Source organism: Homo sapiens, chromosome 12 (genome assembly GCF_000001405.40).
Source record: "Homo sapiens chromosome 12, GRCh38.p14 Primary Assembly".
NCBI lineage: Eukaryota > Metazoa > Chordata > Mammalia > Primates > Hominidae > Homo > Homo sapiens.
Window position 1 is genome coordinate 131534462 of NC_000012.12, and position 24328 is coordinate 131558789.

At 48.4% G+C, this 24328-nt stretch overlaps 1 long non-coding RNA gene across 1 annotated transcript, besides 4 other annotated features; it reads right to left on the reverse strand.

The window, feature by feature from the left end:
* Window positions 1-349: 349 nt before the first annotated feature.
* LOC124903056 (uncharacterized) lies at window positions 350-23769 on the reverse strand. Its single transcript, XR_007063534.1, has 2 exons — window positions 23594-23769; window positions 350-463 (listed from the first exon to the last, which is right to left on the reverse strand). It is a non-coding gene; the product is annotated as an uncharacterized LOC124903056 (long non-coding RNA).
* Window positions 1828-2410: an enhancer, noted in NCBI's record as "H3K4me1 hESC enhancer chr12:132020834-132021416 (GRCh37/hg19 assembly coordinates)". NCBI's record gives its function as "activates a minimal SCP1, AML or CMV promoter by ChIP-STARR-seq in primed H9 embryonic stem cells {active_cell/tissue: H9 hESC(primed)}" and the evidence as "EXISTENCE:reporter gene assay evidence [ECO:0000049][PMID:30033119]".
* Window positions 17937-18555: an enhancer, noted in NCBI's record as "NANOG-H3K4me1 hESC enhancer chr12:132036943-132037561 (GRCh37/hg19 assembly coordinates)". NCBI's record gives its function as "activates a minimal SCP1, AML or CMV promoter by ChIP-STARR-seq in naive and primed H9 embryonic stem cells {active_cell/tissue: H9 hESC(naive and primed)}" and the evidence as "EXISTENCE:reporter gene assay evidence [ECO:0000049][PMID:30033119]".
* Window positions 21690-22190: an enhancer, noted in NCBI's record as "H3K4me1 hESC enhancer chr12:132040696-132041196 (GRCh37/hg19 assembly coordinates)". NCBI's record gives its function as "activates a minimal SCP1, AML or CMV promoter by ChIP-STARR-seq in naive H9 embryonic stem cells {active_cell/tissue: H9 hESC(naive)}" and the evidence as "EXISTENCE:reporter gene assay evidence [ECO:0000049][PMID:30033119]".
* Window positions 22191-22691: an enhancer, noted in NCBI's record as "H3K4me1 hESC enhancer chr12:132041197-132041697 (GRCh37/hg19 assembly coordinates)". NCBI's record gives its function as "activates a minimal SCP1, AML or CMV promoter by ChIP-STARR-seq in naive H9 embryonic stem cells {active_cell/tissue: H9 hESC(naive)}" and the evidence as "EXISTENCE:reporter gene assay evidence [ECO:0000049][PMID:30033119]".
* Window positions 23770-24328: the final 559 nt, after the last annotated feature.

Genomic DNA, 24328 nt, shown 5'->3' on the forward strand with positions numbered 1-24328 from the left:
TAGATTACCTTCCCCTCCTAACCAAGTAACAGGAACCACCTGCCTGGTGCACAAGAGACCATATCATTTGTGCATTCATATACTCACATGGCTGTGATTTACTGGGCAGCTTTTGTGTACCAGGGACTGTGCTGACTGCCCAGAAAAGGGCTACAAGGTCATGATATTGGGCTCCATGTGTGACCACATCTGTTTCTGGGAAGAGCAGAGCTGGAGTTGTTTCTCAGTCCTTCTAGTCCTTATTGTCCAGGGCCTGGGAAAAACCAGCCTTATACACCACCCCCACTCCCACACGGGAACAATGCACTGGACCAAGGTCATGAACATTCAGACCTTGATGTGACCTTACCCGTGGAAGTCACGGCCATCGGGGGGTGGGGGTGATCGGAAACTCCTGTTTCCTTATCTAATTGCCTCTCTGTAGCAGATGATATTGAAATGATACAGACTGAAAGATGAGAATCTGTGAGAAAAAAAAAAATCAGAACAGAAAATTACGTTGGTTTGTTTCAAGTCGCCTTTCAATCATTCTCCTTTTTTCTCATTCTGGGTTGAGAATGAACTTAACGCTTGATGGATACAGACACTATGAGCTAATACACTGTGTGCACAGAGCAAATGTGAAAGAAGATACGGCTCTCCAAAGAGCTTAGAATCTAATCAGATAGATAAGAAACACACACACACACACACACAACACAAGGGATAATGTATGCATGACAATGAACGACCTGGGCCAGATGTGGCCCTGCAGTGATGGAGGAGGGAACCAGTTGGTCTAAAGACACGAGGAGGAGGTAGGAGAAGACGAGATTATCTGGAACTTGAAAAACGATGAGCATCTGTTGGTGTGGCTGGATCTGCATGCAGTCCCCCTGCCCCAACGACTGAGCCTCGTTTTCCTTGGTGAGCCCACCCATCTCATCATTCTATGTGTTTAGCGCAACTGATCACTTTCCTGGATCTAAGATGGTCGTGTGACTCACACCTGGCTAACTGCATCATCACAGTCCTTACCAGAGATAGACTCAGGGACAGACACGTAGGCCTGGGTGGACCAGTGAGACTCTGTCCTGAATTTCACTGAAACTGTCAAAAAAGAAGAATTCTGGGCTTTCTAGGAAGATGCAAATACAGTTGGCCTTCTGTGTCTACAAGAGTCTGCATCTGTGGATTCAACCAACCACAGACAGAAAATTTTCAAAAAAGAAAAATAAAAAATAATACAACAATAAAAAGCACAAATTTTTTAAGTACAGTGTAATAACTATTGACATAGCATTTACATTGTATCAGGTATATACATAATCTGGAGATGATTTAAAGTATACAGAAGGATGTGTGTGCATTATATGCAGATATTATGCCATTTATGTAAGGGACTTGAACATCCATGGATTCTGGCATCCTTGGGGGCTCCTGGAACCAATCCCCTGAGGATACTGAGGGACAGCTGTATTAGTGAGACTCAGATCCAGGCAGCTATCTTGGTATCACTGGGGGCAGCCAAGGCACAAATGAGAAATCAGATCTGCGAGACGGAACAAAACAACATCTTAATACTGTCACTTGAGCCTCTAGATCTAGCCATCCCTGAGGCCATCACTTCGGATGTTTTTGTTATATGAGCCAGTAAATTCTAGTTTTTGCAAAAGCTGCTTTGTGTTGTTTCTACCGCTCGAGATTGAATTAAAACCAAATAAATCTGCCTGATACTTTGCAATGCCATGTAAGAGTCTGTTTGAGGACTGGGAGTTGGAAGAAAGCTCTAGTTTTAAGAATAAAGGTTTTAAGAATAAAGTTTTTCAAACTTGATCTGGATCACCCCCAAGAAAAGGATCCACATTTAAAAACAGCTCTGGGAACTCTGGCCTAACCACGGGGGCCACTTTCTCTTCCAGAGAACACTGTGCAGCTTGGAGGTGTTTACGGACTGGGCCTAACCACAAGGGGCCATTTTCTCCTCCAGAGAACACCGTGTAGCCTGGAGGTGTTTATGGACTGGGCCTAACCACAGGGGGCCACTTTCTCCTCCAGAGAACACCGTGTAGCTTGTTTATGGGCTGATGTGTCTCATGACTCTCAAACAAGGGCGTAGGAAGGTGGCATTTCCCACCACAGGTGCTGGGGGAGCTTGTTCTGGCGCACACACGGAAATACAGCCCCGCCCGCTTCCACACGCCCTTATGAACTTTGAGGCAGGCCCCTATGAATCTGCTTCTAAATCTGAAAACACACTCCTGGCTGCTTTGGAAGTGGGGCATCGTCCACAGGGTCTATGTATGGTGCTGCCGCCCTGAGCCTCTGCCCTCTGCTCCCCCGGCAAGGAAGGCCAGGAGCGAGGTGGAGAGATGGCAAAGGACCAGCTCCTTTCTCTGCCCACGAAGCCTCTCCCCCAGGAGGACGCTCAAGAAAAGCAGCTCCCAGTGAGGAAATTGCACGTCTCAGATTCCTGGAATAAGGAGGGGGAGCCGAAGACACCAACTGAGCACTGCCAGGCCGTGCAGCTCTGGGTGCTACCCCTGACCAAGGGTCCCGCTGACCCAAGGGCGCTCGCCCTGGAGGAAGCCTCAGCCTGGCCCCTCCAGGCAGCAGGAGGAAAGTGAGGAGAAAGGAAGGTTGCTCCCGGCTCCAGGGCCTGGCGGCCTCAAAGCTGGAGATCTCCAGGGGCTTCTGGTGGCAGAATCAGCTTCAGGCGACCTCTTGAGTATCTGATTTAATTACCTAGAAAAGAAGCTTCCTGGAGCTTCCCTGGCCTGAAAAATGTGCTTGCTTTAAATGTTGAATGGAACAACGACATTACAAAAAGTCTAGGGAACAGAGGGGAAATGGTACCCAAATACCAGCAGCGTAACACGATAAAATGTCATCTTGCTTATTGCCTTCCAGGGTACATGTGTTTTATGATTGCCGTCCTGTTTTTCAAAAATGTGGCAACTTTTCTATCTGCTTGACAGGAAAGCACTTTCAATTTTATTGTTTTAACAGCAGCATGATTAATGAGTGCCTGTCAGTTCAATGAACTGGTGTCACCCCATCTCAGGAAATCATTAGCAAATAACTTGATAAATAACTTCCCCAACTTGATGGCCAGTGGAAGGCTCAAGAGTCCCAGCACAGGATCTAGAGTGGACCTATGGCTACAGCCATGGTGCCCTGTGAGGAAACTGGTTTCCGGTGCAGAGCAGGTACCTGGGCAGATGCAAAGAGCTGAGCCGGCAAGTTTGCCTCACCAGGAGGAAGCTGATGCCCCTGAGGCCCTGTTCTTGGAGAACCCGGTCCCTGAAGTCCGTTGTGAACACACTCCAGGATTTCAGACGTGCAGCCTGGCCCCAGTGACAGGCTCTGGAAATACTGCAAATAACCCCTGAGAGCATAGAGGCCTCCCTCTGTGGAGCAAAGCAGAGTGTGAGACTCAGCCAGCACCCGTTCTTGACAAGTACAGACATTAAGCCTTCACTTAACGAGGGACTCTAATGAGTTCGAGTCCTGCAGAGTCTCTAGGCTTGACCCTCTCTGGAGATTGAGTACGGGACCTCCAGAGCATCAGGGCAAAGAAGACAGGCATGGAAAAGGACCACATGCTCGCAGACTACAGCTGCAGGTCTCACCACTGTGAACATGAGAATTATTCTAGAGACCACCCTGAGCTGCTCACATGTGGCTTATTTTTTTGTCTCCATCTTTTCCAGGAATTTATTCTGTTCTCTCTAAAACACCATCCATCCTGTGTAGCGAGGACAATTTTAGGCCCTCTCAAGTCCTACCTTGATTTAAAATATGGAATTGTAATAAAGGGGAAAATGAAATGCAGAGATTCCTGGCAAGATGCTAAAATGTCTGTACCTAAAACCTGAGTCGTCTGCTTAATAAGCCAGCTTAGTGTCAGATCAGAACATGTGCGCAGCCCATACACATTTCCCAAGCTCTAGCCGTGGAGATTAAAGGTAAAGATGGAAAAGAACATTCTTTCATACCAGGATTTCATGACCATGAATTTTCCTCACTATCTTCCTAATTCGGGGTCTCCAGACACGCTGAAAGATAATATTTGTAAGGTTGAATGGCCAGGCCAGAATGTTAGTGGCCTGTCTGGGAGGCAGTGACATGGTCCTATTTGATCCCAGTCTCTGAACAAGACTCCCTGGTTCAAATCCAGGCTCTACCAACCTCCATAGCTGGGTGATGTGGGGATGAGTGAGTTTACCTCTCTGAGATTCAGCTGCCTCATTTATAAAATGGGAATGACAACAGTCCTTACTGCAAATCATTACTGAGAAAACGAAATAAGTTACCTATCATTCTTGGTTCACAATATGAACTCAACAAATGTTCGTGGGAGGATGATGAAGGAGGAGGAAAAATTTTATCACAGATACAGTATTTAAGATAAAGAACTTTTTTTTTTTTTTTGAGACGGAGTCTCGCTCTGTCACCCAGGCTGGAGTGCAGTGGCACGATCTCGGCTCACTGCAAGCTCCGCCTCCCAGGTTCATGCCATTCTCCTGCCTCAGCCTCCTGAGTAGCTGGGACTACAGGTGCCCACCACCACGCCCAGCTAATTTTTTGTATTTTTAATAGAGACGGGGTTTCACCATGTTAGCCAGGATAGTCTCGATCTCCTGACCTTGTGATCCGCCTGCCTCAGCCTCCCAAAGTGCTGGGATTACAGGTGTGAGCCACCACACCCGGCCTAAGATAAATAATTCTTAAGGTCCCTATTGATGTCTGGTGGTTTGATGAATTGATTCATTCAACAAGTGATTATTGGAAAGATTAAATAAGATGATGCATGCAAAGTTCTTAGCATCCTCTAAATTAAAGTGCCCAATAGATGTCCATTGTGAATGTGATAATGGTAATAGCTATAATAATGATGGTGGTGGTGATGATGATGATGGTGAGGGTGATGATGGTGATGAGTGATGATGATGGTGATAATGATGGTGGTGGTGATGATGGTGATGGTGATGATGGTGATGGTGATGATGATGGTAATGGTGATGATGATGGTGATGGTGATGATGGTGATGGTGATGGTGGTGGTGATGGTGATGATGATGGTGATGATGGTGATAGTAGTAGTGATGTTGGTGATGACGATCATAATAGGATGATGAGTATGGTGGTGATGATGGTGCTAATGATGATGCTGGTGATGATGGTGGTGGTGATGATAGTTTTGGTAATGATGCTGGTGATGATGGTGGTGGTGGTGATGATAGCTTTGGTAATGATGATGGTGGTGGTGATGTCGGTGATGATTATCATGATAGTGAAGATGATGATAGTGGTGGTGATGATGGTGATGATGGTGGTGGTGATGGTAATGATGGTGGTGATGGTGATCATGGTGGTGATGGTGATCATGGTGATGGTGATGATGGTGACGGTGGTGATGATGCTGATGGTGGTGATGTTGGTGATGACTATCATGATAGGATGATGATAGTGGTGATGATGGTAATGGTGGTGGTGACAATGGTGATGATGGTGGTGGTGATGGTAATGGTGGTGACAATGGTGATGGTGGTGATGATGGTGATGGTGATGGTGATGATGGTGGTGGTGGTAGCGATGATGATGGTAGTGATGGTGATGATGGTGATGATGCTGATGGTGGTAATGTTGGTGATGACTATCATGATAGGATGATGATAGTGGTGGTGATGGTAATGGTGGTGGTGACAATGGTGATGATGGTGGTGGTGATGGTAATGGTGGTGACAATGGTGATGATGGTGGTGGTGATGGTAATGGTGGTGACAATGGTGATGATGATGGTGGTGATGGTGATGATGGTGATGATGGTGGTGATGGTGGTGATGATGGTGATGGTGATGGTGATGATGGTGGTGGTGGTGGCGATGATGATGGTAGTGATGGTGATGATGGTAATGGTGGTGGTGGTGGTGATGTTGGTGATGGTGATCATGATAGTGAGGATGATGACGGTGGTGGTGATAATGGTGATTATGATGGTGGTGATGTTGGTGATGGTGATGATGACGGTGATGGTGATGACGTGGTTGAGGAGGATGACAGATAAGAATGAGGAGAATCCAATAGATACATCTAAAATAAGTAATTATCTGTGTGACCCTGCTAATCACAGCTGGATTTAGATAAATTTGTCCATATTCATCAAGAACTCACTAAGAACCAGGTGCTGTGCTAGGAATTTTTTCAACAGAGAGGCCCCCACATGTGCACAATAACTCAGGTATAAAAGTATTCTCTGTGGCCTTGATGGTAGCAGCAAAATAGCAGAACTGTCCAAATGCCCATCAGTAGGCAAGTGGTGGGGACTGGGAGGCTCTTCTGCATTCATAGCTGCCGCATTCCATCAGATCCCAAAGGCAACACCAGAAGCTCCTCTGACATTTCTTCCCCTGCATCTCCCCCTGTGTCCAGTGAGGCTGGGCCATGGGCAGGGACCAGAGGGTCTGCCTAAGAATAGGGTGGGCCCCACTGTCTGCTTTCTCTGAAAAAAGCTACAGGAGCCACAAAGTCTGGGTGAGTGAGTGTGTGGGGGTTTTTAAGATGAAAAAGTTCCCAGGTAGGAGGATGAGGGGAGGGGTAGCAGAATGGAGAAGACAGCGAGCAGGAACAGCCTGGGCTTTGAGGCCAGATGACACCCAGTTCTATTCCTGGGGCAACCCAGGCCAGCTGTGCAGCCTAGAACACTGGCCAAACCTCTCTGGGCATCCATGGTCTCACTGTGGAAAAATGATGAGTGCCTTCCTCATGAGGATGTATGGCTGGCCAGGTATATGTAAACTAAGACATTTGATGTATGACACTAGTTCATATCATAACATTTTCTGTTGTTACCCAACTCAAATCCACACCCACTTTTCTCTACTACCAGTTTCTGAACTGTGAGATGCCTAACAAGGTTGGGTATAAAATTTGGGGATCCTGGTCCCATTTTATTGAAAATATGCTTCTCAGAGTTTAAGCTTTCTCCCTCCGTTAAACATAGAAAATTTTCAGAGGGATCAGCCTGTGCTTTCTTCATTGGGGCTTTTCATATAATGAGTGGAGCCTCCTTGTATTAGTCCATTTTCACACTGTTGATAAAGATATACCTGAGACTGGGTAATTTCTGAAGAAAAAGAGGTTTAATTAACTCACAGTACCATGTGGCTGGGGAGACCTCACAATCATGGCAGAAGGTGAAAGGCACATCTTACATGGCAGCAGGGAAGAGAGAATGAGAACCAAGCGAAAGGGGTTTCCCCTTATAAAACCATCAGAGCTCATGAGACTCATTCACTCCCACAAGAACAGTATAGGGGAAACCACCCTCATGTTTCAATTATCTCCCACTGGGTCCCTCCCACAACATGTGGGAATTATGGGAGCTACAATTCAAGATGAGATTTGGATGGGGACACAGCCAAACCATATCATTCCTGAATCCACATGAAAGACATGGAAGTGTGTGCAAGGGAAAAAAGGTTTTAAGCCAGTGAGCTGCTGGGGCTATGTGTTACTGCAGCACCGCATAGACTATTCTGACTGATGCCTCTCCTGTTCATTGGCACTGTGCACTTAAGCCTCCTGGAACTAAGATGTGGCCTCAGACGAAGGTGGGATCCAAATTGACTGTGATTAATTCCACCTTCCAGTTAAACATGAGCTACTAAAAGAAATCAGCCAGCATCACAAAAAGAAAAACAAAACGAATCCCTTTCTTCCATTTCCATGTTCTGTGATCTGGGACTCATGCATGCTGTTCTGGTATTTAAATTCTCAAATGCTTATCCTTAGCTCCATTCCTGGCTTCCTCGTGGGCTTCTGGAGGAAGGAGGATATTTGTCATTCACCCCTACTCACCGCACATTCTTGACAGGGCCTGGCATCTGACAGAAAATCAGGGGAAGGTGACCATTTGGCACCTCTGCCACCAGCTTCAGATTGCTTGAAGGCTGGATTAAGGCCAGGGTGAAATCTACGGGAAGAAGCTGCTCTCTTCCAGGGGCCCTCCCTGCAGTGAGGCTTCGTCATGCTCTGGGTGAGCCTCCAACTCTTTAATTAAAAACTGAAGGTTGAGGGAGCCCAGCTACCTGCAGACTACCTGACTTTGGCTCGTAGCTAGCTCCAAGCCAGTTGGAGTGAAAGATGCAGTTCCTGGGCTCTTGATGAAATTAATTAAGAGAAAGCTGACAGGGAGACAGATGGAGGTTGCAGGACTCACAGAACCAGCCAGCAATCCATTTGTAGGGAGCTTGTGTTGGGGGCCACAAGCGCAGTCTCCTACCAGGGCTGCTTTGGTGACATGAAGTCCTCAGACCTAGCCAAGGGCTGTCAAGAAGGAATAGAGCCCAGAGTGCTGAGCCTTACTGCTTACCTGGAGAAATCACATGGTAAGTGTTGACATCTGGTCCAGGTTCTTCCTGAACATGCCAAATTCAGTAGGTTCAGGCTGGACTGGGATGACAGGTCACTGCCTTGTGACCCTGTCTGACAAGCTGCAAGAAACTGGTGCCCCTGACCACAGAGACAAGGATGAGGTGAGCCCCATGGAGCCTGCCAGCTCAATCAGCTGAATTCACTGCTGCTTGTGGGTTGTGTGATATACGTGCATATATGCGTGCATCTGTGTGTATCTGTGTGTGTGCACACCTGTGTGTGCATGTGTGTGTGCATGTGTGCACCTGTGTGTGCATTTGTGGGCATGTGTGCGTGCATGTGTGCACCTGTGTGTGCATGTGTGTGCACGTGTGTGCATTTGTGGCATGTGTGTGCATGTGTGCCCCTGTGTGTGCATCTGTGTCCATGTGTGTGCATCCGTGTGTATGTATGCACCTGTGTGTGTATGTATGCACCTGTGTGTGCATGTGTCTGTGTACCTGTGTGGGCATGTGTGTGCACCTGTGTGTGCATGGGTGTTCATGTGTGTGCACCTGTGTGCATCTGTGTGCATGTGTGTGCATCCATGTATGGGTGTGTATGCACCTGTGTGTGCATCTGTGCACATGTGTGTGCTTCTCTGTGTGCATGTGTGCTTACCCATATCTCAAAGTGGGGGCCAGAGGATGCCACGCAGAAGGCCCCAAGCAGAGCTGGCCAGGGAGGAAGAAACATCAGGCCTGATCCCTCTGCATCCCCACAGCATTTTTTTCTGGGGATTCTAACACAAACTGAAGTCCTTCAGCCTCACTGCATTCATCTGTTTGCCCCAGGAAGCTCCAGCTCGAGCCATGCACCACCCACGCCCCTCCAGAGCTCGGTGGTCACACAGCCCCACCCCATTTTCCATGCACCTAAGCTGCCCAGGGCTGTGCTACAGTCAGCCCCAGTAACTGTGATCAATGAGCCTGGCTGGGGAGGTGCCAGGGTACCAGCGGGCAGGGGAATGGGAGGAAGCCCATGGGGTGGGACCCTTTCCTAGAAGAGCCACTGCTTTCCCAGACCTTGGTTAGAGGGACCCCCTTTACAGGGCTTTCCACCAAGAAAACGATCACCTGGCTTTAACCAACGCCCTAAGAGGCTGCTGTCCCCATCACCTTCGTGCATGCCACAGTTCATGAAATGTCTCCTTTAGGCACGGGTATTTAAGCTGTGGGGTTTGGAAACCGGAGTATCACTGACAGAAGCAGACCTGGTGAGCAACCCGCCGGGTGCTGGGTCCAGCTCTCAAACAGCTTTGCCTGCACTCAGCAGTGCCTCAATCCTTTTTTATGTCCATGCTCTTCAATAGGTCAGGCATTGCCCCCCACTCCCCCTGTGCCTCCTCCTGTACCCAGCCACTTCAAAGTTCTATGTTCCCTGTCTGATCTCAGAGGGCAGGTGGGTTTGCAACCCCTGACCAGGAGTCGGTCCTGGTCCAAGCATTCCTTGGAGAGACTACATTTCCCAGCATTCCTTGTGGCTAGGTCTGGTCCAGTTCTGGGTTTGAGCTAATGAAGAAACAGCAAAATGATGTAGGCCAAAAGCCAGGCCTCTCACACCGAACAGCTAGCCAAGCTGTGAAGGCAAATGAAAAGTTCTTGAAGGAAATTAAAAGTGCTTCTCCAGTAAAACATGAATAAGAAAGCAAAAAGGCTTTTCTTTTTGCTGATATGGAGAAGGGTTTAGTGGTCTGAATAGAAGATCAAAGTAGCCACAGCATTCCTTTAAGCCAAAGCCCAATCTAGAGCAAGGCCCTAACTCTCTTCAAGTCTATGAAGGTTGAGAGAGGTGAAGGAGCTGCAGAAGAAAAGCTGGAAACTAGCAGAGGTTGGCTTACGAAGTTTAAGGAAAGACACCATCTCCATAAGATAGAAGTGCAAGGTGAAGCAATGACTGCTGATGGAGAAGCCGCAGTAAGTTATCCAGAAGATCTAGTAAAGGCCATGGATGGTGGCGGCACTAAACAACAGATTTTCGGTGTAGACAAAACAGTCTTCTATTAGAAGAAGATGCCATCTAGGACTTTCACAGTGGGGGAAGAGAAGTCAATGCCTGGCTTCAAAGCATCAAAGGACAGGCTGACTCATGTTAGGGGCTAATCCAGCTGGTGACTTTAAGTTGAAGCCAGTGGCCATTTACCATTCCCCAAATCCCAGGGCCCTGAAGAATTATGCTAAGTCTACTCTTCCTGTGCTCTGTAAATGGAACAACAAAGCCTGGATGACAGCACATCTGCTTACAGCATGGTTTATTCAATATTTTAAGCCCACTGTTGAGATCTACTGCTCAGAAGAAAAGATTTCTTTCAAAATACTACTGCTCATTGACGATGCACCTTGTCTCTCAAGAGCTCTGATGGAGATGTACAAGAAGATTAATTCCTGTAAACACAATATCCATTTTGCAGCCCATGGATCAAGGAGTAATTTTTTTACTTTCAAGTCTTATTCAAGAAATACACCAGCCTGGGCAACACAGAGACTCCCATCTCTATTTTAAAAAATTAAAAATTAGCCAGGCATGAGAAAGACAGCAGGCCTCGCTATTCACAGGCATGTTCCTGTGGTCCCAGCCACTTGGGAGGCTGAGGTGAGCGCATGGCTTCAGCCTAGGAGGTCGAGGCTGCAGTGAACCATGATTACACACCACTGCACTCCCACCTGGGCAACCGAATGAGACCCTATCTCAAACCAAAAAAAAAAAGGAAATACATTTTATGAGGCTATAGCTGCCATAGTCATCAATAGTGATTCCTCTGAAGAACCTGGGCAAAGTACATTGAAAACCTCTGGAAAGAATTCACAACTCCACATGCCATTAAGAACATTCACGATTCATTGGAGGAGATCAAAATAACAACATTAACAGGAGTTTGGAAGAAGTTGATTCCAACCCTCATGGATGACTTTGAGGGACTCAAGGCTTTAGTGGAGAAAGTCACCACAGATGTAGTGGAAATAGCAAGAAAACTAGAACTGGAAGTGGAGCCTGAAAATGGGACTGAATCACCGCAGTCTCATGAGAAAACCTGAACAGATGAGGAGTTGCTTCTTATGAATGAGCAAAGAAACTGGTCTCTTGAGATGAAATCTACTCCTGGTGAAGATGCTGTGAACATTGTTAAAATGACAATAAAGGATTTAGAATATTTCACAGACTCAGTTGCTAAGCAGTGGCATGGTTTGAGCAAATTGACTCTAATTTTGAAAGAGGTTCTACTGTGGGTAAAATGCTATCAAACAGCATCACATGCTACAGAGAAATCTTTATTGAAAGGAAGAGTCAAACAATGTGGAAAACTTCATTGTTGTCTTATTTTAAGACATTGCCACAGCCAGCCTAACCCTGAGCAATCAGCACTCTGATCAGTCAGCAGACATTCACACTGAGGCAAGACCCTCCGCCAGCAAAAAGATCAGGACTCACAGAAGGTTCAGATGAACCTTAGCATTTTCTAGGAATAAAGTATTTTTAATTAAGGTATGTGCATTGTTTTTTACACATAATGCTATTGCACACTTAACAGTCTACAGTATCTTGTAAATGTAATTTTTATATGCACTGAGAAAACAAAATATTCATGTGACTTGCTTTATTGCAGTATTCGCTTTACTGTAGTGGTCTGGAACCAAACCCACAATATCCCTGAGGTATACTGGCTTCAGTTTCTTGAAACATTCTTTGGGGTCACTAAAGTGTATTCTGTTTGCTCATTAAAAGCAGATATCAAATATGCACAGCTCATCTGTTGGCCCAGCACCACCTGGCCATGTGTCTTTTAGGACCAGCTGCCCCTTTCCTTTGGGGAGCAGCCTCTCCCCACCCCAGAGGCTCTGGTGAGAACCAACCACCGCTATCATCCTTTCTCTTTTGCCACAGAAGTTTACCCTAAGGCACAGCACTCAAACAGCACCAGTCAGAGCCTTCCCTGGGATTTAGACACAGAAGTCTGGGAGAACAGAACCAATCAGAGCCCTTCCCTGGGATTTAGAGACAGGTTTCTGGGAGAATGGGACCAATCAGAGCCTTTCCCTGGGATTTAGACACAGAGGTCTAGGAGAACAGGACCAATGAGAGCCCTTCCCTGGGATGTAGACACAGGGCTCTGGAAGAACAGGACCAATGAGAGCCCTTCCCTGGGATGTAGACACAGGGTTCTGGAAGAACAGGACCAACCAGAGCCCTTGCCTGGGATGTAGACACAGGGCTCTGGAAGAACAGGACCAATCAGAGCCCTTGCCTGGGATGTAGGCACAGGGTTCTGGAAGAACAGGACCAATCAGAGCCCTTCTCTGGGATTTAGACACAGGGCTCTGGAGGAAAGATGCTCTCCCAGTACTCTGGGCCCACCAGCTGGGGTAATGGACACCTGGAGCTGCTGCAGACCTGCCTCCCCTCCTGCTGCCAGCACGCAATGGGACCTCACTCCCCATTGTGGGCTTGGACAGGCAGCATCAACATCACTGGGATGATTGATAGAAATACAGCATTCTAAGCTCCACCCAGAGCTCCTGAATCAAAATCTGTACTGTAAGGAATCCTCATGGGAGGTTTCACATGGGAGCCTGAGAAGCGTCCAGCACGAGAACATGAGGCCAGTGCACACCCCGTCCATTCCATGGCGCATCCAAGAACTTCTCAGATGCTCCCCTGAGTCCGAGGTGGGGTGCCCTGTGAGGGAGGCTGGCCCTCCTCTGCTAATTATGCCCCGAGATGCCCTGGAGAAGGAGTTCAGCCAACACACTGGGATTCTCACATATAATCCCATTCACAAGGCCATGAGGGCGGGTGTAGAGCTTGAGAAGTTGCCCTTCATTTATTTGTCTTTGGAATGAACTCCCGAGCCCCTTTCTGGAAGGGATCCCAGCTGGCTTCTCACTCTTTTGTCTCTTGCAGGACAAAGACTGAATCTGCAAGCAGTCGGCCTCTCTGGAAGTTCCCCAGACCTTTTTCATTGAAGGATTTCTGTAACGGGCTCCAGCCCTGGCCCTCTGCTCCTTTTGCTCTCTCCCGTCCACTCCTCCTGGCTTTGCTTTGGGAGAAGTGACCTTCCTCTCCTGGACACACCCAGGAACTGTCCATCATGGCAACCCCTGCCTGCAGCCAAGTGGTGGATGTGTGACTCGGGCTGGCCACTCACCCCCTGGAATGTGATACCAGAGCAGAGGGACCCCAGACTGAGGAGCATGGAGGTAATAATTCCAGGAATCTCTCTGTTCAGGAGTGTTTGGCCCCCAGTATTTCATTACCTTTTTTTATTAATAGAGACAGGGTCTCGCTGGGTCACCCAGGCTGGAGTGCAGTAGTATAATCACAGCTCACTGCAGCCTCAACCTCCCGGACTCAAGTGATCCTCCCACCTCAGCCTCCTGAGTAGCTGGGACTACAGACACACACCACCACGCCTGGCTAATTTTTTATTTTTTATTTTTTTGTAGAGATGGGGTCTTGCTGTGTTGCCCAGGCTGGTCTCAAAGTCCTGGTCTCAAGCAATCTTCCTGCCTCAGTCTCCCAAAGTGTTGGGATCACAGGCATGAGCCACCACATCCTTTTTTTTATGGCCGGATAATATTTCATTGTATGTATACACAATCTTCCCCCTTTATCTGCAGGGGATAAGTTCCAAGACCCCCCAGTGGATGCCTGAAACCATGGATAGTATTGAACCTTATACACACTGCTTTTTTCCTATACATACATAGCTACGATAAAGTTTAATTTATAAATGACACGAGGTAAGAGATTAACAACAATAACCACTAACAGGACAATTATAACAATGTACTGTTCACAATGTCATGGAAAGACAATTCATTCTTACTGTAGGTCCTGGCAACCTCATTATGTGATTGTTTTTCTTTCCTCATTAAGTACAGAACTTTCACCTTTTTACTTAAAGGAAGCACTTTATGGCTTTCTTGGACATGTGCAAATCGCCGGCACCACTAGCCTTGTGCTTCTGGCTGTTCATTAAGTAAAATCAGGGTTCCTTAAACACCAGCACTGAAGACACAAGTCCAGCGACACCGAGACAGTAAGTCTGATGACCAAGGCAGCTACTAAGTGGCCAGTGGGCAGACCGAGCATACAGCAGGGTACGCTGGGCAGAGAGATGATTCACATCGCGGGTGGCACGGTGAGAGAGTTTATCTGCTACTCATAATGGCGTGCAACTTAAAACTTATGACTTGTTTATTTCCGAAATTTTCTATTTAATATTTTTGGACTGTGATTGACCATGAGTAACTAAAACCTCAGAAAGCAAAACCTCAGATAAGGAGGGGCTCCTGTACTACATTTTGTTAAACCATTTGTTATTTGATGGACATGTGGGTTGTTCCCAGCTTTTGACTATTATGAATAAAGCTGCCCTGAAGGTTGGTGTCCAGGTTTTTCTGTGCACATATGTTTTGCTTCTTCTTGGGTATGTAACTAGGAGTGGAGTTGCTGTGTGGTGTGGTGACTCTATGTTTAACCATTTGAGGAACTGCCAAACTGTTCTCCAACGTGGCTGCACCATCTTCCACTCCCACCAGTGGTGGTGAGGATTCGGATTTCTCCACATCCTCAGAAACACTTGTTATTATCTGACTTTTTCATCATAGGCATTTTAGTGTGTGTAAAGTGGTGTCTTACTGTGGTTTTGATTTGCATTTCCCTGATGACTAACGGTGCCAATCATTCTTCATGTGCTTATTGTGTATTTAATGAGGCAATGTATATATTTTCCTCGGAGAAATGACTATGCATATCCTTTGCCCATTTTGTAATTGGATTGACTTTTTATTATTGAATCAAAAGAGTTCTATGGTAGGATTTGCGCATATATATATATGCATATATATATATATATATATATATTTTGTAATATAGAGACAGGGTCTCACCATGTTGCCCAGGCTGGTCTTGAACTCCTGGCCTCAAGCAATCCTCCTGCCTTGGCCTCCCACAGTGCTGGGATTACAGGCATGAGCCACCATGCCTGGCCTTCCACTTTCTTGATGGTGTTCTTTGAAGCACAAAGGTTTTCCATTTTGATGAAATCCAATTTATCTATTTTTTCTTTTGTGGCTCATTTTTGTTGTTGTTGCTCATGGTTTTAATCCTTACCTAAGAACTTTTGGCCAAATCAACATCAGTAGTGTTTTCCTCTAAGAGGTTTTATAGTTTTAGCTCTGACAGGTAGGTCTTTGATCCACTTTGAGTTGGCTTTTGGGTATGGTGGGTGGTTGAGTCCAGCTACATTCTATGGCATGTGGAAATCCAGTGGTCCCAGCACCGTATGTTGAAAGAACAATTCTTACCCCATTGAGTGGTCTTGACACCGTTATGGGAAATCAATTGGCCCCAGATATATGATTTTATTTCTGGAGTCTCAATTTTATTCCATTAATCTTGATGTCTATCCTTGTGCCAGCACCACCCTGTCTTGATTACCACTGCTTTACGGTAAGTTTTGAAAGCAAGAGCTGTGGGCTGTTCTACTTCCTTCTCCTTTTTCAAGGTAATTATCACTATTCGGCATCCCTTGAAATCCTGAATGAATTTTAGAATCAGTTTGTCAGTTTCTACAGAGAAGTCAGCTGGGATAATGATAGGGATTGTGAGGAATGTGTAGATCAATTTAGGGAGTGTTGCCATCCTAATATTAGGTCGTCTGATTCAATAATATGAGATGCTTTTTCACTTGTCTAGTTCTTAAGTTTTTCTAAACAATGTTCTGTAGTCTTCAAAGTATATGTTTTATACTTGTTTGTTGTTAAATTTATGTCTTGATTATTTTATTCTTTTTGATGCTATTATAAATGGAATTATTTTCTTAAACTCATTTTTTATTTTGTATTCCAAGTGTATAGAAAGGCAATTGATTTTGTAAATTAATCTTGTATCCTGCAACCTTGTTGAATTCATGGGTTTTTTGGGGGTTTGTTTGAGACAGCCTTGCTCTGTCACCCAGGCTGGAGTGCAGTGGCATGATCTCTGCTCACTGCAGCCTCCACCTCCCAGGTTCAAGCGATTCTCCTGCCTCAGCCTCCCAAGTAGCTGGGATTACAAGTGCATGCCACCACACCCATCTAATTTTTGTATTTATTCTAAATGAGTTAACGCCATGTTGGGCAGGTTGGTCTTGAACTCCTGACCTCAAATGATCCACCCACCTTGGCCTCCCAAAGCGCTGGGATTACAGGTGTGAGCCACCATGCCTGGCCCATATCTGTTTTTAATATGAACATTTTTTCCTTAACAAATGTCAGATCTAGGTAATCTTTAGCTCAAATTGTACCAACTAATTTTAAATTTCATCTCTTATAGTGGGGAATATAGGGATTGTAATGGCCTAATGGTAAAGATTTTGCTTGACTCAAAAGCATTCTCGGGGTTAGAAACACTTCTCTTCACTGCGTAATCCCCATGCAAATAGAACAAGGCTGTTTATGTGGACACCATCAGTAACCACTTCTCATGTGGCTAAGGTCAATCAATTGCTAAAATTTCAACTGCCAGCGTTACAGGAAAGGGGTCCCGACCCAGACCCCAAGAGAGGGTTCTTGGATCTCACACAAGAAAGAATTCAGGACGAGTCTGCAGTGCAAAGCAAAAGCAAGTTTATTAAGAAAGCGGGGAAAGTACAGCTACTCCATAGACAGAGTAGGGCGTTCCTAAAAATAAGAGGAGGAAGGCGTCCACCCTAGGTCCAATGCTTGTATATATGGGGAGATGTGTTCTGCTACAAGGGTTTGTGATAAAGGATTAATTTTCTTAATTACTACATTTTGCAAGAATTGATATTATCTTTAAAGCAAAATTAGGAATGCCTTTGTTCTGCAGATATCGGGATATCTGCACACTTCTAAGTCTGGGTCTGTTTAGTAAAGATTATTAATTTGTTCCCTTAACCGTAAATATCTAGAAGCCAGGAATGCCTAACTTTCTGGGAACACAGCGCAGTAAGTCCCAACCTCATTTTCCAGCCCTCACTCAAGATGGAGTTGCTCTGGTTCGAACACCTCTGACATCAGGGTAGAACAGACTGCCTCGAGACAAATCACATGTTTACAGGGTCCAGGTAATTACACATAATGAATCACGCAGGTTGGACAGAGAAAAAAGGGCGATGCTACCAGACAGAACAAAGTGACCACAGGGAGTGGTGGAGACTGCAGTAAGCCGGAGGGCACATGTCCTTTCCAGAGGGCGGCACTGCCCCTCAGCTCCAGCCCATCATCCTGATGTGGCCCAGGGGTGGCTCACTGCTCCACTATTCAAATGAACCTATAAATCTAGCTTTGTCTCAAATGTTAATGTTAGCAATGAATAAAAAATGGGTAGGCCGAATAATGAAGACCCATGGATTAGATGTAGCCTGTGGGTCACAGCGTGACTTGGCCATGCATTTTCAGCCAGAGGGCTCAGGTCTCCCATGAGGAGAGCTTCTTGGAACCGCCCAATGCGTTCTTCTAGTTTGGGGAAAGGGGTGGGGGTGGCTTTGGGGCAATGTGTGCTTGCTGCCTATTGGTTGGGGTGCAATCATAGGAGCATGGGAAATGATCTTCTTGCTTACTAACTCGATTCTGGGTGGGGCCACAGGAGCAGTTGGCAGGACCAGATGGAGCCGTCAGTCATCAGACATGCAAAAAACCTGAAAAGATATCTGAAAAGGCCAATCTTACATCCTACAATAGTAATGTTATCTGCAGGAGTAATTGGGGAGTTGCATGTCTTGTGACCTCTGGAATAATGGCTGGCAATGGTTTATGTCTACACCTTAGAAGAATTCAGCCTGCTCTATCCTCCCAGCCAGGTGGTCTCTCATTAGCTTTACAAAGGCAGTTGAGTTTGGGGGAAGGACTTATTATCATTTAAACTATAAACTAAATGTTTCCCAACATTCGCTTGGCTTAAGCCCAGGAATAATTGAAGGCTAAAGGCAAAATGGAGGTTAACTAGATCAGATCTCCCCCACTGCCACAATTTTCTCACTGATATAATTTTTGCAAAGCGATTTCATTCTTGTCCCCCCAGGGGGCTCGCTGCCTCAGTGCAATCAGAGTGAGGCTGGGGCAGACAGAATATTCCTCTATGGAGCCGTTCTTCAAGAAAAAGACTACGTGGTCAAGGTGCAGAACTGGAATCCCAAAGCTCCAGCCTCACTTCGTGAAAAGCCAAGAGGAACTACTACATGTCACCCATTGTGTTACCAGAAAGGGGTCCCAATCTAGACCCCAAGAGAGGGTTCTGGATCTCATGCAAGAAAGGATTCGAGGTGAACCCATAAAGTGAAAGCAAGCTTATGAAGAAAGTAAAGGAATGAAAGAATGGCTACTCCACAGGCAGAGTAGCCCTGAGGGCTGCTGGTTGACTATTTCTACAGTTATTTCTTGATTATATGCTAAACAAGGGGTGAATTATTCATGAGCTTTCTGGGAAAGGGGTAGGCAATTCCTGGAAGGTTCCTCTGCCTTTTCAGACGATATAGGGTAACCTCCTGACATTGCCATGGCATTTGCAAACTGTCGGGGTGCTGGTGGGAGTGTCTTTTAGTAGTGAATGCATTATAATTAGCATATAACAAGCAGTGAGGATGACCAGAGGTCACTTTGGTCGCCATCTTGGATTTGGCAGGTTTTGGCTGGCTTCTTTACTGCAACCTGTTTTATTAGCAAGGCCTTTGTGACCTGTAACTTATGCCTGACCTTCTATCCCATCCTGTGACTTAGAATGCCTAACCTCCTGGGAATGCAGCCCAGCAGGACTCAGCCTTATTTCACCCAGCCCCTACTCAAAATGCAGTCACTCTGGTTCAAACGCCTCTGACAACTGGTTTCACAGATGAGACTGTACCAGGGCCCTCTGGCTGGCAGGATGTGCCCAGCCTGACCCTGTCCAAGCAAAGGGCTTTGGGGTTCAAGAGCGTGAAGCAGAGAGTTAAGCGAATCTCCCAGAAATGACAGAGCCATTCTCCAGCAGAACCCAGCCTGGTGAGCCTTGATGAGGACCCTGAATTAAACAGAGCAGGAACCTAGTTTATCAACTCCTCAGGTTTTCTAGGAATTCCGAAGCCCAAACACGGCCAGGGGTGGGAGGGAGATCTGGTGACAAATGAGGCTAAAATTCTGCTCCGTCCACCTGCAGCTGAACCTAGGGAGGACTGGAGGCCTGGCCGTGGGGAGACTCAGCCTCTGGCTGTACTTGTGGACCCCTCCAAATCCTCACCTCGGGTCCAGGGGGAAGGCAGAAGGGAGGCAGGGCAACGCAGAAGGTTCTGCACAGCCATGCTCTGCCGCCTTCCCTGTCCTCCTCTCCCCTCCCCTCGTGACCAGACCCTCTTTGCAATCAGGGAGGGTATGTCAGCTTGGGGCTGCCCTTCCGTTTGAAGTTGGCATTTCAGTGGTCGGTTTTGCTCTTTTTTGCTTCCTGTTTACAGAAGTTCTTCCCACCTACCTCTTCTCTCAGCAACATGGAGCCCTCCAGGAAATCTCCAAGAGGCCTCTGTGAAAACATCTCACTTAGATGTTCATGTTTTTCCCCGTCCCAGATGTGCCTCTGTATCACCCTGAAGGCTTCTCTTGCTACATCTGGGGAGGGGCAGTGGCAGCACCGGGGCCCAGGGACCATCAGGGAGGTGAGACCAGGGTAGACAGGCCCGAGAGCCTGCAGGGTGGCCACGGCCCTGATGGGCAGGAGCTCCCTGGTGTCCATACAGGCTGGAGCAGGCCATAGCCAGGGCTGTGACCACTGCGGTCCCTGTTCTCAGCTGTAGGACTGTCACCACCCTCCAGGGTGTCCCAGATAGCAGGGACAGCTGTACCCAGCCCACACTCCCTGCCCACCAAACACAGTGCCCAGCACAGGGTGGACATTCCGTGAGTCTCTTAAGTGAATGAAGCCACGGCCTTAAGGAATAACTGTTCTGCTTTGCACTATTTCAAAGGGACGCCAACTCGGCGGGCTGAACTGAGATGGAGCCACTGCAGATGGTGACAGAAGCCACAGCAGGGACAAGACAGCAGTGCCCTCAGGCTGGAGGCGGACACCCCCCACCAGCTCCACCCACCATGGTGGCTGTTGGCTCCAAAGCACAGGGTTGGTCTCTCAAGTTCAGACCTCTAGACCTCTGACCCTGGGCTCCAGGAGCCCAGAGCTCCCCAGGCAAGGTCCCCAGAGCACCCACTCCTGAAGCCTGTTCGGACACAGGCCAACGCTCAGTCAACATGTCGCATTCTTGCTTATTTTCAGCAGCTGTTCCTACAGCAAAAACCCAGACCTGCTGAACCTCAGGTCTACAGCAATGCCGTCTACACCCTGCACCAAAACTCAGCCTCGGCCAGAGATCTAGTGCAGCGGTTCTGAGTGTGGCATCAACCATCAGCGTCAGCATCACCTGGGAACCTGCTGCCTCACACTCCTGGGTCAGCAGTTCCCAACCCTGCTGCAGGTTAGACTCACCTGGGAAGAGTTTTAAATCCCTGAGGCACAGGCCCCATCTGATACCAATTATAGCCCAGGTCTGTGTGGGAAGCAGATGTCAGTAATTGGGAAAGGCCCCCAGGTGATCAGGGCAGTTTGGGAGCTGCTGATCAGTGGTGCTGCTGCTGTGTGGGCAGCACCCACCGCGCCTTCGGCCTCAGGCCTCCCATCTGCGGATGGCAGCTCAGCCCTCGCTCACCAAGGTGTGGGCACATGATGGAGCGTGCCAGGCTGCGGGCAAGCGGAGCAGGGGCCCAGCCTGCCAATTCTTGCAGAAGCCGAGTAAGGCCAACCAAGGCAGCCGTTCTGGAGCCAGCAGGGCTGCACTCAAAGACTGGATAGCTTGAGGGTTTTTCTCAGCCTCTGTGATTCACAGCCGACCGTGAATCACTCCTGAGTTACAGGAATCACGCTCCCTCTGTGAGAAGGACAATCCCTGGCTGTCTGAGTTTGGGGTGGGGGAAGCCTAGACTCCGCAGCCTGCGCCTCCCCTTTCAGTGGAAGCTCATTCCCCGCCCCACCCCCCCCCCACATACACACACACAGGCCCTGGCATCCTCCCCTGGACCCAGCGTGTGCAGGAGGCAGGGCCTCAGCCTGACCCAGGGGGGCTGCAACATCGTCCTGGACCCCATCAGGAGTGGGACAGCTGTTGCCACGATACCTGTGTCAGCTCCCCTGGAGGGGACCGGCGTGCTGTGGGGCTCAGAGACAAAGCAGAGAGGCCGAGGCCGGGTGGAGCTGCCTGTGTGGAGTGCTGGCTCGGGCCGTGGCAGCGAGTTCAAACTTCCTTGGGGCTAGACTTCCCTCTCCATGGGCATCGTGGCTGTCACGGGAAAGGTGGGCGCTATGTGGCCAGGACCAGGGAGACAGAAGTGTCCCCTTCCAGGTTCATGAACTCCCCAGGAGAGGGGAGAGGGCAGTCACAGGGGAGCCCGCCAGCATCCCTGAGGATATAGGAGGACTTTGAGGAAATGGGGCCCCCTGGCCCTCGGGAGAACAGCCACAGTCTCTGGTTCTCTTTTCTGGTTTTTGTCAAACCATCTCAGTTTGGGTCCTGAAGTTAGCCCATGAGGTGGGCATCGTGTACGGCCAAGAGGACCTTGAAGACCTGGATCTCCCACAAGTAGGAGCATCCAAGAATCCTTCCTGTAGCCTGGAGATTCCTGCACAGCAGCCTCAACAGCAATAGGCAGGCTGCAAGCGGGGCCAAAAGGAACCTGCCCCAGGACGCCTGGGCAGGCTGCGAGCGGGGCCAACAGGAACCTGCCCCAGGACGCCTGGGCAGGCTGCGAGCACGGCCAACAGGAACCTGCCCCAGGACGCCTGGTCCTCCACCCGCTGTGCTTTACCACGGCTGACCTGCCCACAGAGCAGAGCGGTCAGTGACAATCTAGGAGATGCTGCTGGACCTCGTGACCTCAAGTCAGTGCCAGCAGCTACAGGGCAGTTTCACAGTTAACCACGGCACGGCCTTTCCTCAGGCGGGCAGGGGCAAAGCCAGGGACCTTTGAGCCCTGGGGTTGAAAGGAGCAAGCCCCATGAATAGCTCCATCAGAGGACATAAGATGGGTTGTCTCTGACACTATCTGGTTTGATTTTCCAGAACCTTCTGAAGAATTGGCAAAGCCAGCGATGGCGGCCACATCACTGTCCATCTGGTGGGTGCATCGTGCCCTGCCCTGCTTGACGGTAAGGTCAGAGATTAACATGCAATGAATGAGGCAAATGCAGGAGTCGGGGGGGTGGGAGCACTGCGGGCTCCTTCTGCTCATGCAGAGGGCAACTGGGAATGAAGAGCAGGAAGGTCACACTTTCCCACGGGGAGCTGCGCAGGTCACGATGCCCTAATCAGTCAGGGGAGCAGAGGCCTGGGTGGCCTCATCTCAGCATGGAGGTGACAACCCCTCAAGGGAGCCAGCAAAAACTAGCAGATGGCTCCTCAGCTCCTGCACAGATAAGTCTACCCTGGACACCAGGCCGGTGAGTGACCATGACAACACGCCAACGTCGAGATCCAGCAGTCTGTGTCTACACAGAGAAAGGATCCGATCCCACATGTGCAGGAGGAGGGGCACAGAGTGATTCCTGAGCGCGGCTGGAGACAGGACAGGTGGAGACACCAGCATGTGCCCCAGGAGGGGTTTGATCAGGACACCTGGGGGTCCCGGTTCAAAGGCATGATCTAAAAGACACGTACACGTGGCTGCATCCAGGCAACCTCGTGTCAGGGAAAAACAAGCTGCAGAGCTCAGAGGAAAGATTAATAAAGACCCCAATATGCTCAATGTTGTGCATGAATTTAAAATGTACATAAATGGACAAGAAAGTCACACAGCACTCACCACGGTCACTGCCTCTCGGAGCAGAGGGGCCACGGGGTTTCTGGCATCCTCTACAATGTCTTACTTGTTGCAATTTTTAATGTGAACATAAATATTAATAATTATAAATTATGAACAATAGGTGCATGCTTTTGCTGTAGCATCCCTTTCAGCTTTTCTGTTATTAAAATGTCTTTAAAAAGAGAACTCAACATGCTACTTTGCTTTTAACAAAACCCACATCTGCTTTTCATCCATAAATTGTTTCTCCAAAGTTGGATGGCTAGTTCAAAAAGAATTTGCTCCCAAATCTTCCAAGTTTCCAAATAAGTGAATAAAAACAGATCTGTAGCCCACTGAGTTAACCATGGCAATCCCAACAAAGCCACAGGGTCACTCACCCACTTTGCAAATGTCCAGATGGATGCCTTCCTAAAGGTCACAGCCGAATGGAATATTCTGTGGAAAGAATGGAGGATGTGCCGGGCACTGCAGGGCTCAGCTCTGTGTTCCCCAGGCTTCGTGGGACAGAGATGAAGCAGACCGGGGCCCCCACCACAGCACCCCAGTCAGCATCTTGCAATCTCCTGGGCCTCTGGGGACAGAGGAACAGAAAGGCCCTCTCTGATGGGGGCAGCACCAGCAGGGGAGGCACAGCCCAGGTGGATGCTGCTCTGAAGCAGCAGGAGAGGGGAGCTGGGGGAGCGAGTTCAGGCACAGGAAGATGCCCAGGTGCTGGGGAGCCCTAACCACACACACAGTGATGGGCCGTCAGGCGGGGTGTGAACTGGAGGCCCCAGATGTGTTGTTTGCCTGTGTGGTGCTGTAAATGTTAAGAAATTTCACGTAAAACTCAGAAGATCTGCAACACTGGGCCTGTATCCGCATGGACCAAGCCCGGGGAAAGGCGGATGTGGGCAGGGCTGGAGCTGAGCAGCCGCTGAGGGTCCAGGAGCCTCCCCATCCCTCCACTCCCTGGTCTTTCCTGCTGACAGCACCCTCCCTGGCCCCAGGGTAGCTGTTTTCAACCCCGCTTGGACCACGAGAGCCATGCGCGGTCACGTCCAGAGGGAACTTCTCCTGACCCACTCTAGCCCCGATTGTCCTGGAGGCATGTGCAGGTACAACACAGTCAC